At 38.8% G+C, this 13,316-nt stretch overlaps 1 protein-coding gene across 14 annotated transcripts in view; it reads left to right on the forward strand.

Annotated features, from left to right (window-relative positions):
- MTM1 (myotubularin 1) overlaps positions 1 to 13,316 on the forward strand; it is a 110,491-nt gene that overhangs the window by 23,423 nt on the left and 73,752 nt on the right. For 9 of the 14 annotated variants that reach the window (XM_011531172.2, XM_017029548.2, NM_001376908.1 and 6 more), the window contains 3 exons: positions 6,530 to 6,602; positions 10,423 to 10,495; positions 12,517 to 12,611. In XM_011531172.2, coding sequence (XP_011529474.1) covers positions 6,540 to 6,602; positions 10,423 to 10,495; positions 12,517 to 12,611 — 231 coding nt within the window. In that variant the 5' untranslated portion in view covers positions 6,530 to 6,539. Of the gene's footprint in view, positions 1 to 4,408; positions 4,967 to 6,529; positions 6,603 to 10,422; positions 10,496 to 12,516; positions 12,612 to 13,316 lie in introns of those variants that run through there. The other 5 variants (XM_047442132.1, XM_047442133.1, XM_047442134.1 and 2 more) reach the window with 2 other exon arrangements.

Genomic DNA, 13,316 nt, shown 5'->3' on the forward strand with positions numbered 1-13,316 from the left:
TAGGGGTAGGTATATCATCATGTTTAAAATGAATTGTAAATATCAAAATTATACAGAGAGTGAGATTTTAAATGAAATACTATATAGCATCATATAATTTTCAAAGAGGAATCATCAAACCAAATACACTGTAGCCCTAAGATTTGAAGTGACCAAGACAAATCAAGAAGCTCTAATGCTTCTGTTACATGTGTCTATGTGGACAGTAAACCGCTTACTTGGGGGATCCTTTTTTGGAGTAAATATAGTTAGATTTGTAGCCTATTTTTAGATATCTGAGCCTGAATAGAAAGTAATGAGATGAGATCTGTATGTTAAGTATTTCACAGAAAGATTCCCTGGGCTAGGAGTCAAGTGTTTTCTTTTTTTAATGGAAGGAGGCATATTTGAAGGTAAACTACTGTAAGGCTGATTGGAGTCTTGGCAAGGTTAGATTGATCATCTTAGAAAACCTGTGTGCAGAATGGTTAGGCAATCAAGGATATGGTATATTTTGTGGACAACCAACCTAACATATTAGCACCAGTTTGGGGAATGACTTAAGAGTTCACTGGGCTGGGTGTGGTGGCTCATGCCTGTAATCCTAGCACCACAGGAGGAGGCCGATGTGGGCGGATCACTTGAGGTCAGGGGTTCAAGACCAGCCTGGCCAACGTGGCGAAATCCTGTCGCTACTAAAAATACAAAAATTATCTGGGCATGGTGGCGCACATCTGTAATCCCAGCTACTCAGGAGGCTGAGGCAGGAGAATCACTCAAACCCAGGAGGCAGAGGTTACGGTGAGCTGAGGTGGTACCACTGCACTCCAGCCTGAGCGACAGAGTGACACTCTGTCTCAAAAAAAAAAAAAAAAGCATAAAGCATCTCTGGTAGGAGGAAGGGAACTGGTATTTGAGCATCTTTGTTATGCCATCTGCTGTGCTATAATTTTACCTGTTCCTCATGACAGCACTGTGAGGGCTGGCGTCACACCCATTTTACAGACTGGAAACTGCAGTAATTAAGTGAGAGAATTGGGATCTGAGACACAAATTGGTCTGAATACAGAATCCCTTCCTTTTTTTCAACTGTATCACACTGTTTTGTAGGTGGGCGCATAGTGGCATTTTGACAAGCTCTCAATGGTGGGGTTAATAGCTTGTTTTTTAGTTTAAGAGAATATGATTATTATGTACTTCGGCTGAAGACGGTTCACATGGGAATTATTTTAACAGCTTAATGCAGGGCGTGACAGCCTGTTTTTGTAAATAAAATTTTATTGGAATATAGCCCATCATTTATTTACATATTGCTGCTTCAGTGCTACAACGCAGTACTGAGTAGTTGCAACAGAAATGTCTGGGTATCTGGCCCTTTACACGGAAAATTTGTCAGTCCCTTGTTCAAAGGAAAATGTATAAAAATGAACCAAACTTCTGCTTTTGCAGATCATAGTTTATTTTCATGTGAGTTGAGCACTTCTTCCCCCCAAATAAACAAATATATGTGTTAAATTGATGGTGTACCTGGTCTCAAAATGGCTGGAATATGAACATTTATCTTGGTTCACAGTGATTTGGTTGAGGACGTCTCAAGGTATGTTTCATTTTTTTGCATCCTAGGTGGCCTACAATCCAAGCTACTTTAATGCAAAAAATCAGAATAAATTTATAGTAAATCCTGTGTTTACTGGCACTCCAGGTACAGAACTCTGTGAATGGTTCTCATTGGGGGTGACGCTCCCCCTAGAGGCCAAATTGGAAATGGGGGCATGTTTTGGTTATGGTGTAATTCATTGAAAAATACATTATTTTATTATAAATCACTGTCCTTTTATTTCTCCTTTATATTGGAGTTAGTACAGTATATTGATTTTGTATCATGTTTAGATTGAGGATATCCATGGTTTTCATTTCAGCCTAGCAAAGGGGACTTTACAGAAATTTGTTTTATAAAAAGGGAGTTTCGGGTCTGATGGTATTGAGCACCACTGCCAAAGAGATTTGGCATCTTTTTGAAAACAGACTTCTAAGTAAGGACAACTACCTTAGAAAGACCTGGAATTCTGAACGGAGAGGCTGCTTGTTCTCTGACAAACTTTAGAAGTCAAGTTTTAAGTCTCAGTATGTTTCCATAAGCAGCATCTTTCCAGAGAAAGAGCATGATTGAACTTAACGTAAATGCCAACACAGAGTCATAAACCACATTAAAGGCTCATCAAAAGACAAAAGCTGCATACCTTTGTCACTGTTTTGTTTGTATACAGAAAAGTTCAGAAAAACCACTCAGGGCCATTGATCTCAACTCAGGTGACGATGGGAAATAGAGCTCTCCGTGGTGTTTACAGTTTGCTTGCAAAGGCCCTATGAGGCAGAGATCAAAATTATTTTCTAGTTCTGCTGCTTTTAGATTCTTAACATAAGCGTTAAAATGGCATGCATTTTTTAATGTTTTTAGTTAATGTGTGCTTCAGGTTTGTGTATTGTTGTTTTTCATATTCAACAGAAAAGGAAAAACAGTTCCTTAGTCTGGAAAAAGGGCGCGGTGAAAGAGGTTTTTGTATCTGCCTCCACAGATTCAACTGACCAATCCCAGCCCCCTGTACTGGGACGGCTGTACCTTAATTTGAAATGTTCATGGAAAAGTCTATAAGGGAAGATAGCATTACTCAAATTATTTTCAGTGCAAATCGTTTCAAAGGGGTACAAGTTAACCCTGCAGTTAACTACATAACAGTATATACACTTAAATTTGCTGCCCAGAACCACCCTGCCTGGACCATCCTGATCAGCCAAGGCCTTGTCGTACCATTTCAAACATGAGTTTGTATGAACTTGTGGCTTAAGTGAAATATTACACTGCCAACAACTGTTATGTTCCTTGGCCAATCCTTAATTGCCCAGTTCATTCACTCATTTAACAAATACCTGTTAAGTATCTTTTGGGTGCCAGGCACTGTTACAGGTGCTGTAAATAAATAAAACATAAAATTCTTGGGGCTTAGAGGCCCCAAAGGTTGGTTGGCTAGGTGAGTTGAGTTCTCTTAACTATGTTTCTTAGTCTCAAGCTGTTCTACTGAGATTGGGACCAGTCACGTGCAACCTGGTTTCCTTCCAGAGACCACTTAGAAGCACTTTTCTGTAGGTAGAAGGGACTCTGCAATGCAGGGAGACCTAGGCTAGAGTTGTCCCTGCCAGTAAGTCACTCCAGGACCTTGTCACACACCCTCTAGGCCCCCCGCATCTCCTCTGTAATAGGAGAGGGTTGGGCTTAAATCATCTCAAAGGTTATTTTGGGGGATCAAAAGTGATAGAAGTCTACCTCTGGTTAGAATGCTGTAGTTAACATATATATACGGAATCAACTTTTAATTTTTGCTTTAAAGCCAAGGTAGCCAAAAATCAACATTTTTTTGTTTGTTTTTTAAATAAAAAGGATAAAAAAACTTGATTGTTAGGGCTTTGGGATGAAATACTCTGTAACCAAAAGGGTAGCTGATTTTTGTAGACTTCACTATAGCTTCTAATTATCATCCAACTGCCTTTACACTAACATAGTCATTTTATACACGAAGATATGGATGAGCTTTCTTTGCTTGGTAAGTTAGAGACAGCCCAGGGCTTGTACACACCTGTCTAGTACATTTTCCAAAGTACTACACTGCTTTCCATTTTCCTATTAGAGTCATTATTGTCTTTTTTTTTTTTTTTTTAAGCAAAAAGCACTTTATAACTGAGTGGCTGCTAGCCATGCGCTATCCCTGTATTAGTTAACTTTTCTCCTAGTATTTCCAAGGTCAGGACTAATTTGTAGAATTGGCTAAGACATTGGCATTCACTAGCTATCCTTTTGTGCTCATAAAAATTAAAAATTTTAAAAATACTAGTAATTTGTTAACAGATACACTGTGTGGTTCCAAGCCCTGCATGAATGTATTAATTCATTTGTTTCACCTAATAATGTTGATGTAAAATGGGGGTAATAGCAACCAAAGCCCAGAGAAGTTAAATAACCTACTCAAGGTCAAATGGTGAGTTGCAGAGTTGGAATTTGAATGTAGTCAGCTGCAACATTTGTGCACACCAGCATGATGCTGTTCCAGCTTCTATAATCTTCAGGGATCAATCAAAACCATTCAACAAAGAGAGGCTCACTGATGAGATTTTAAAGTAAGCCTCATTGTGGAACTGGCACATGTTATCTGGACCTTTGGATTTCTCGGATGTATACTTGATCCAACTATTAACAGTAGTAGTAGTGTCTGGTGTTCCTCTAAAAATTAGAGCTTTAGACATAAAGACTGCATATTGTTCGGTTTCATTTATATGAAATTCCCAAAGTGGGCAAATTTATAGGGATAGCAAATTCGTGGTTGCTGGAGGATTGGGAGTGGTGGGTGACTGCTAATGGGTATGGGGTGGGGTTTCTCTTTGGGATGATAAAAGTGTTCTAAAATTGATTGTGGTGATGGGTGGCACAACTTTGGATATACTAAAAACCTTTAAATTGTACACTTGAAAAGGGTGAACTGTATGGTATGTGAGTTGTAGTAAAACAGTTAAATGAAGGGAAAATGAGGGATTTCGTCCTTTATATTCATTTTAAATTGAAATTTTTTCATGAAAATCAGAAATAGCAGGAAGACTCATCATTCTTTTATGGCCCATGAATAAACAGGGTGGTGACGTTGACTGAGTTGACTGTACAACCAGGATTTTAGATTTTTTCTACTGACTTGATAGTAAGAATTTAACTTTTTGTTTTAAAATGTTGACTTACATTAGTGAAGCATTTTAAATATTAAAGTATCTATACTAAAAGGTAGTTTTATATCTGTTACTGAAGAAAATCTGCCCCTAATATATAGTCTTGTTTTGTCAATAGAAAAATTTCAGAGCAGATACATCTGACTTGCTCCATAGTTCATCTCATCCATTCTGCTATCTCTGAGAATAATGGGTTATTTTGCTTGGACATGAACTTAAGGTTAGAAAGGTTTTTCAAAGCATATTTTACGATTTTGTCTGAATTTAATTCATTTTAGTGTTATTCATTAATCTTTTTAAAAAGTTACTTTTAATTTTGCATTGTGCTACCTGTAGGTAGTTTCAGCTCTTCTAAGTTGAGTATCTCTTTCTATAAAGACGTATTTTGCTCTAATTGTTAATTTTCAAGCATCAGTGGTAGTTGCCTAGTTCCAGTGTTCTGGGATTTGGTGAACTAGTATACATGTTTGCCCCATCATGACATTTCACAGTATTGTATATTTGCCGCATAATCATTCACCAGATAGTTGTGAGTTCCAGTGTGCGCCAGGATACAGCCACGAACCAGACAGACACAAGCCTTGGCCTTGTAGTGTTGAACTCTCACGGGGGAATCCTGACAGTCCTAACCTTGTAAGATGGCCCCTATCTGGCCATCTCCCCACCTCTTCATCCTGGTGGCTGTCTTTTTCTGTGACTTCGTCACCTTTCTTGACTATTTCTTAAGGACAGTAGCCAGTACTGTGAAGCTGTTAAATCCCACTAGATTTTGTGCCAAGGTGTGTTAACCCATTTATGCCTAGTGTTCCACTATTGGAACGCTAAGCTTGTGGGAGTTATTTACATCCTGCTGCTCAAGGTCATCACCAAGGTCTGATTTTTCACAAAAATAATTTGCAACCTCCGGCATAAATGGGTTAATGTTCTCCATTGCTGGATTTTGTTAGTGTGTCTGGTTGCTCTTAATACAGCCTGGCAAAAAGATATTTATAAATATCCACAGTCACCTTGTTGAATTGGATGTGGTTTACCTCCCGCTGACTTTATATGTATCTATCTGTGTCCTAAACTTTGATAAAATAACCAAAGCATTACTTAGTGTTCTGTTGTTGCTGTAATCTTCTTAAGTCTAAATAAATCCTTGCGTTAAAATGGTATTTGTGTATGTTCTGAATAGAATGCTTTCATTTATGCCTGAATTGTGATGAATATGCATTATTTAAATGAAGTATATACTTTCCCTAGAAAATACTGATTAAATCAAATCTTACCAATTTGATTTCAGTCAAATCCATGCCACTCTAAACTGCCATCATTTGGAGAAAACAAAATTCTTAATAGAGAAAATAGTGTGAGTTAAATTGTCCATTCTTTTTTCATTCTGCTCGGCTGCCTCTAAATTATCTTTAAAAAATAAGGAGTATGGAAATTTGAGGCCTGTTGCACAATTAATAAACATTAAGTTTTTTTAGATGGCAATTAGAGCACTACGAATTAAAATTCCTGGAATGTGTATGGCGTCTTCTGCTGAGCTCCCCCTTGTGCATTTAGCTCCCCTTGTCTGTTCTCCCCTAGTCCCCTGCACCTTTATTGGAGCTCTCACATACTGCCTGTGCTCTGGTTCATCGTTTGTATGTCTTATTACCACTGGGGCCTAGTATGGAAATAGAACCTGTAAAGTAGTACCGTTTGCTCTCAGTTGCCATATTTAAGTCTCAGATGTCACATATGTTTGAAATTGCATACAAATTCAGTTGATATTGAATGTTGTGTTTCTTGGTAGAGTTTCCAGGATGGCTTCTGCATCAACTTCTAAATATAATTCACACTCCTTGGAGAATGAGTCTATTAAGAGGGTAAGTTGAATTTTCAGATTTATCTGTCTCTTTCCTTGCATTTATTTTGATATTTGAATATTAGGTCATTTTGGGCTGGCCTATTGAATTATGAATTTTATTATTCATTCACATATAAATACATTTATACATGTGGTTTCTTTATTGTCTCACCTTGTTCTAGAAAAGCTTTTTTTTTTTTTTGGAGACAGAGTCTCGCTCCGTAGCCCAGGTTGGAGTGCAGTGGCAAGATCTCAGCTCACTGCAACCTCCGCCTCCCAGATTCAAGTGATTCTCCTGCCTCAGCCTCCCTAGTAGCTGGGATTACAGGCGTGTGCTACCACACCCGGCTAATTTTTGTATTTTTAGTAGAGACGGGGTTTCGCCATGTTGGCCAGGCTTGTCTTGAACTCCTGACCTCAGGTGATCCACTTGCCTCGGCCTCCCAAAGTGCTGGGATTTACAGGAGTGAGCTACCACGCCGGCCCAGAAAAGCTTTTAGATACAATACCTTATATGTGTTAAGTGAGTTTTACATTTGTAAATCCTTTCACATAACTTCATTTTTGAAAACCTCTGTCTCGTGAAATTACTGCTAGACCTCATGTTTAAGGTACTAGGCAATCCTCCACCTGGAAAGGTTGCTGAAGGACATACTGGAAGGCTAAGGCCTGCTGAGCAGGCTGCTACGCCTTCCTAATTATTGGCATTATTTTCTAATTATGATAAAATTGTTGCATAACCAAAACAAATACAACTTTAACAGAAAATGGTTCAAGGTATCCAGGGGGAGATTGTGTAATTAGAGGGAGATTTTGGAATGTGCATTCAAAGGAAGGGATTAATTTAAAATAAGCTTTATTCATGGCCCTTTAAGGCCCTAAGATTATCCACCAGAAAGGCTAATTTATACTCCCACCAGGTGGATAGAGATGCCTAAGCAATCAGAAGGGAGCAAAAGGTGATCTTTTCATTGGTATTTCTTGATTACTAATGAGGTTAACCTTTTTTAAAAAAGTGTGTTTATGGTCAGGTGAGGTGGCTCATGCTTGTAATCCTAGCACTTTAGGAGGCCAAGGTGGGAGGATCACTTGAGCTCAAGAGTTCGAGACTGGCCTAGGCAACATAGTGAAACCCTGTCTCTACCAAAGATACAAAAAATTAGCCGAGTGTGATGGCGTGCGCCCATAGTTCCAACTACTCAGGAGGCTGAGGTGGGAGATTGTTTGAGCCTGGGAGGCAGAGGTTGCAGTGAGCCGAGATCTCACCACTGCACTCCAGCCTGGGCGACAGAGTGAGATCCTGTCTCAAATAAGTAAATAAAAGTGTGTTTGTTATTAGTTTGCATTTCTCTTGTGAAGTGATTGTTCATGTCCTTTATTTGGCTTTTGGGGATTTTGAGGGGAGTTCTTATTGATTATGTGTTCCGTGTGTGTGTGTATATGTGTATGTGTGTGTATAATTTTTTTTTGAGACAGAGTCTAACTCTGTCCCTCAGGCTGGAGTGCAGTGGTGCAATCCTGGCTCACTGCAACCTCTGCCTCTTGGGTTCAAGTGATTCTCGTGCCTCAGCCTCCCGAGTAGCTGGGATTACAGGTGTGCACCATCACACCTGGCTAATTTTTGTATTTTTAGTAGAGTTGGGGTTTCACCATGTTGGCCATGCTGGTCTTGAACTCCTGGCCTCAAGCTATCCACCTGCCTTAGCCTCCCAAATTGCTGGGATTACAGGCATGGACCACCACACCTGGCTTGTTCCTTATATTTTGATAATCAGCTCTATAATATGTTACAAGTCTTCTTCCTGATTTATTGTTGGCCTTTTAATTGTATTTATGGTATTTTGATTTTGAAATACTGAAGTTTAAAGTTTTTATGTGATCACATATATCAATCTATATTTTCTGTTTTGGGTGCCTACAAGGACCATCCTCATCTCCAAGATTATATGTTTTTATTGTATTTAAGTATTTTTATGTTACCAGAATCAGTTCTAAACACAGGAGTAATTTCAAGAATGTAACTATAAATCCTTTGTGTAATGCTGCTCTGGTATAATGTATAGCCTATGTTAATCCCATGTTATCCTGTTTTAATCAGACATTCACTTCCCTTATTTTGTGGTTGACCTAGAACTGTGGTATTTAAAAGGTATACTGAGTATTGCATTTGCTCGTTATGCCTGTTTTTAGTTAGTGAGAGGGAGTGTTAAAGGGTGATAATTTCTTTCCTCTCTTACAATTTATATAAGGTGTGTGGTTTTGCTTCTCATTGAGGAAGGCATTCCTGGCTGAGAACAGTTTGTCTTGCCCAGCTGGTTAAAATGTTTAGCTTGCAAGTACTAGAAAATTTTTTAAATTGGCTAGGAATTTTCATTCTTGCCTCTGAATGAAAAAAAAAAACATTAAAGATTCAGCATAACACCCCTCTTTGACAGCTTATATCTCACCTGAATATACAATTCACATTTCTCTTGTTTCATAATAATTCTCTCCATTTGCATAGCCTCTGATAATTTACAGAAGTGTGCACAGTAGCTCACACCTGTAATCCCAGCACTTTGGAAGGTCAAGGCAGGCAGATCACTTGAGGCCAGGAGTTCAAGACCAGCCTGGCCAACATGGTGAAACCCCGTCTCTACTCAAAATGCAAAAATTAGCTGGGCGTGGTGGCACACACCTGTAGTCCCAGCTACTCAGGAGACCGAGGCATGAGAATCTCTTGAACCTGGGAGCTGGGAGGCAGACGTTGCAGTAAGCCAAGATTGCACCACTGTTGCCTGGCAACAGAGCAAGACTGTCTCAAAAAATAAAAGTGTGCTTGTATATATATTTTTTCACTTAATACTCACAAAACTGCTCTAACGGAAGCATGAGTAACTTCACTTATGAAATGATTGCAGTGTGATTTTGGACAACAAATAGAAAAAAATGAAATACTGCTGAAAAAAACTTTTTGCCCAAACAGATGTTAGTGATGTGCCTCAAATGTCATCAGACTAGCACCTGCAACACATCTTCGTATTAATCCACTAGGGCAGCTGAATAACCTGAAAGACAATGGGTAGCTATGGCAAATTAGGCTCTGCGAACTCGCCTGCAGGTTGTAGTGGTTAATATTACTGTGCCCACCTAGCAGAGCTGTGGAAGTGATTGAATGAGGCACATGCTTGGGAATACCTCTAAAGCCAGGAAGCCTAGAGAAATAGTAAAGTGATGTGAAGAATTTGTACAAATGGCTCCTAAGACTTTTGCCAGCTCAAAAGTTCTCTGACAGACCACTCTTACCTCTTATTAGGACAGGGATCTTAGTAAATGTGAGGAAGTAAAAAGAGAGGAAGGGTCTTAGTGAAATAGGAAACGCAATAGGTAATCAATGATTTTCGGGCATTGTAATAGGATTCTGGCTAATGGCTGTGCTGTTATTCAGTTAAGCCTCTGTGGAATTGAAGTTTTCCTTCCTACTCTTCCCAAAAGATGGCTGAATATGAAAAAAAGAAAGCTGCTACAGTGTATGTGTATCTATAGAACACACTTAATGTTTACTTTTTATCACTTTCCCGAAAGCTGTTAACTTTAAAGTGCTTGGAAATGTAGTTTAAAAATTAATATTATTGAAAAGCATGCTAGCATTATTTAATACTAGAAGTTGACACATCTAATTAATGTTGGTGCCAGATTGTAACTTTTTTGTTTGAATTTTTGTGCCAGTTTTCCCAAATGCTAAATCTCTAATGCTTTTTCTTTAAAAAACATATTTCTAGTGGCTTGTATTCCTAGTTGCTTAAAAACAGTGTGTAAATGTAACGTCATTACTTCTGATGCATCTGTTTTGTTTCTAGACGTCTCGAGATGGAGTCAATCGAGATCTCACTGAGGCTGTTCCTCGACTTCCAGGAGAAACACTAATCACTGGTAAGGACCTGCTGACATAAGATTTGCATAACTTGAGGAGAAGTCTGGCAGGATCAGGTGGCTTCAGTCCCGCTTACTCTTTAGCAGTCAGGCTTAGACAAATAGGCTACCTTTGTTTAGAAGCGTTAACACAGAACTCTCTGCATCCCTTTCTTGATTAAAGAGTTCTTTTGAGAGCTTCATGCTCACAAGGGTAGTGATATTCTTGTGTCTGTACCAAAGACTGAGAATGATTTAGGGGAAAAAAATGTGGATTATCTCTTGAAAGTCTCTCATTGGAGCCATAAGCTCTCATGGTTTAAGGTTTTAAGAGCAAAATGATTTCCAGTCAATGATGCATGCTTTAAAATGATAAACTTAAAGGCTTGAAGGCTTAATCATTCTCCTCTTTGAAATATAGGAGAACATATTGCTTTAAAATATCTTTCATTCGTCAGAAAATGGAAGTTAGTATTTAGGTAATATTTTGATGTTATTTTTCATGATAAACGTATACTAAAAGGAAGGGATCAACTTTGGAAGGGCTAGATCACTACGGCTTAAGAATATAGAAGCATCTGACAGCTTCTAAGCCAAGTGCTAATGTTCTGGGCAAATTTTATATGTGGATTAACACCCTCCTTTCAGACTTCAATGTATTTGAAGCAGATGTGATGACCATTGTTCCAGGGAACCTTTTGATTAATTCAGATCTGGGTTGTTTAGCTTAAATGGCTAAAACCTCGTGCTAATTAGATGGCGGGCCTAAGCGAGGTACCTTTGGGAATTAGCCATACACCATGAGAAATTCTCTTCTGAGTCCACAAACTTGCACACATTCTAGTCTTGAAATGGAGACCAGTGGGATGTGTTCATCCCAATTTCTGGATAAGAGCAAAGAAGATATTTTACTTTTGATCGTCTTCATATATGAAGTTTTGGTGGTAGGTATCAGCGCCTGAACCTTAACCCAGGTGGTAACTAATGGAACTAGCATAAAGTAGCTTTATTAAGTATTTTTTATTTAGAACTTGAAGAGAAAGGGATTTCAAAATCATTACGAGTCATTAACACATTCAAGGACATCCCTGAAAGATGAGAGGCATATTTCTATTATAATTAATTATTCTGATTTAGCTTCTCCTTATGTTTATTCTACCAAAGATGTACTATTCTTTCGGCCACCTGTTTTATATCACTTCAGTGTTTGAAATGAACCTAGCCAAACTCTATTCTAGACTATTAAAAAGAAAAAGGTTTGGTGCGGTGGCTCACACCTGTAATCCCAGCACTTTGAGAGGCCAAAGTAGGAGGATCACTTGAGGCCAGGAATTGGAGACCAGCCTGGGCAACACAGCAAAACTTCATCTTTACTAAAAATTAAAAAACGAGCTGGGTGCAGTGGCGCATACCCATAGTCCCAGCTACTCAGGAGGCTGAGGTGGGAGGATTGCTTGAGCCTGAGAGGTTGAGGCTGCAGTGAGCCATGATTGTGCCACTGAACTCCAGCTTGGGCAATAGAGCAAGACCCTATCTCAAAAACAAAAAAAGACAGAATAAACTGGAAAGATTTCTACTGCTGACATTTATTTATTAAAAACATGATTATGTTTCTGTGGTTAGAGATTGGTAGCCTCATCTCTCAGTCTAGTGGTTAGTCCGTGAGACTGTCCCAGGTGAGTTGCCGTCCTCTGGCTGAAGTAGCTCAAATAGTTACCTTTACAACCACCTTAGGGTAGCAGCAGCAGTATTCTCATTCACTTCTATTGTCACCTTGCCCCAGGTAGTGACAGCATTGTGGGAAAGCTCAGGGAAGCACTGTTAGTGCCTGGAGGTGGTGTGGCCCCACTAGTTCTCCCACTACCCCAACTCAACCCAGCACGGTAATGTAGAAACATTGCCAGTGCTTGCTTTCAGCCTTTTCAGTAATTTTTAAAATTGTAGTTATTCTTAGCTGAATAGTTTATATTAAATTAGTGCCATTTGTTGTGTATCTTGGTATCTATTTCCATTATTTTAGGGTACTTTTTTTATCTTAATAGACAAAGAAGTTATTTACATATGTCCTTTCAATGGCCCCATTAAGGGAAGAGTTTACATCACAAATTATCGTCTTTATTTAAGAAGTTTGGAAACGGTAAGTAGAATATAAGACCATAAAGATGACCCTAACTGTTAAAGATAATGCTAAATTGTTTCTCTTCTACTTTGCAAGATTGACTGTGGGTCAAATTAACATGGGGTATATTTGCTTCTCAACTCTTAATTTTTTGCTTATGCAAAACTCATTTAACACTAACACTTGTATATGTAAGGAACAGGGTCAATTAAAAAAAGTCTTATCCCTCATAATGGTGGGGGAGGGGTTAGTAATTGTAACCATTTGCTAGTTTGGAGAAGTTAGGTGTAGAACAGTGGTTCTTTGCCAGAAGCACATATGAAACCCACTTATGGAGCTTAACAACACAGTATCCATAAAAGTTAAAAATAAAAAAATACAGATGTCCTGGATAGACTGCATCAGAATATCCAGACCTGTGGTCCTGGCACAGTTATATTTTCTAAAATATCACAGAGGAAGATAGTGATGTGAATTTCTGGGTGAAGCCCAGCATTCTAGAACTTTTCCAGGTGTTCAATGATAAAGCACCAGGTAGCAGTGTAGAACTAGGATGACTATGGTATGGCTTACTGCCACTCTACCTTTTCAATCCCTGACCATGAAAGGTTTGTCACAGCATTTTGAGGAATGTTCCATCACTAGGACAATAACATGGAAAAGAGATGCCCCAGAAAGGGAAGAGAGAGTGAGTAGCTGCTGTGGCTGTCACTGAAGGACTTC

The sequence above is a fragment of the Homo sapiens genome, chromosome X (genome assembly GCF_000001405.40).
Source record: "Homo sapiens chromosome X, GRCh38.p14 Primary Assembly".
In the NCBI taxonomy this organism is placed as follows: domain Eukaryota; kingdom Metazoa; phylum Chordata; class Mammalia; order Primates; family Hominidae; genus Homo; species Homo sapiens.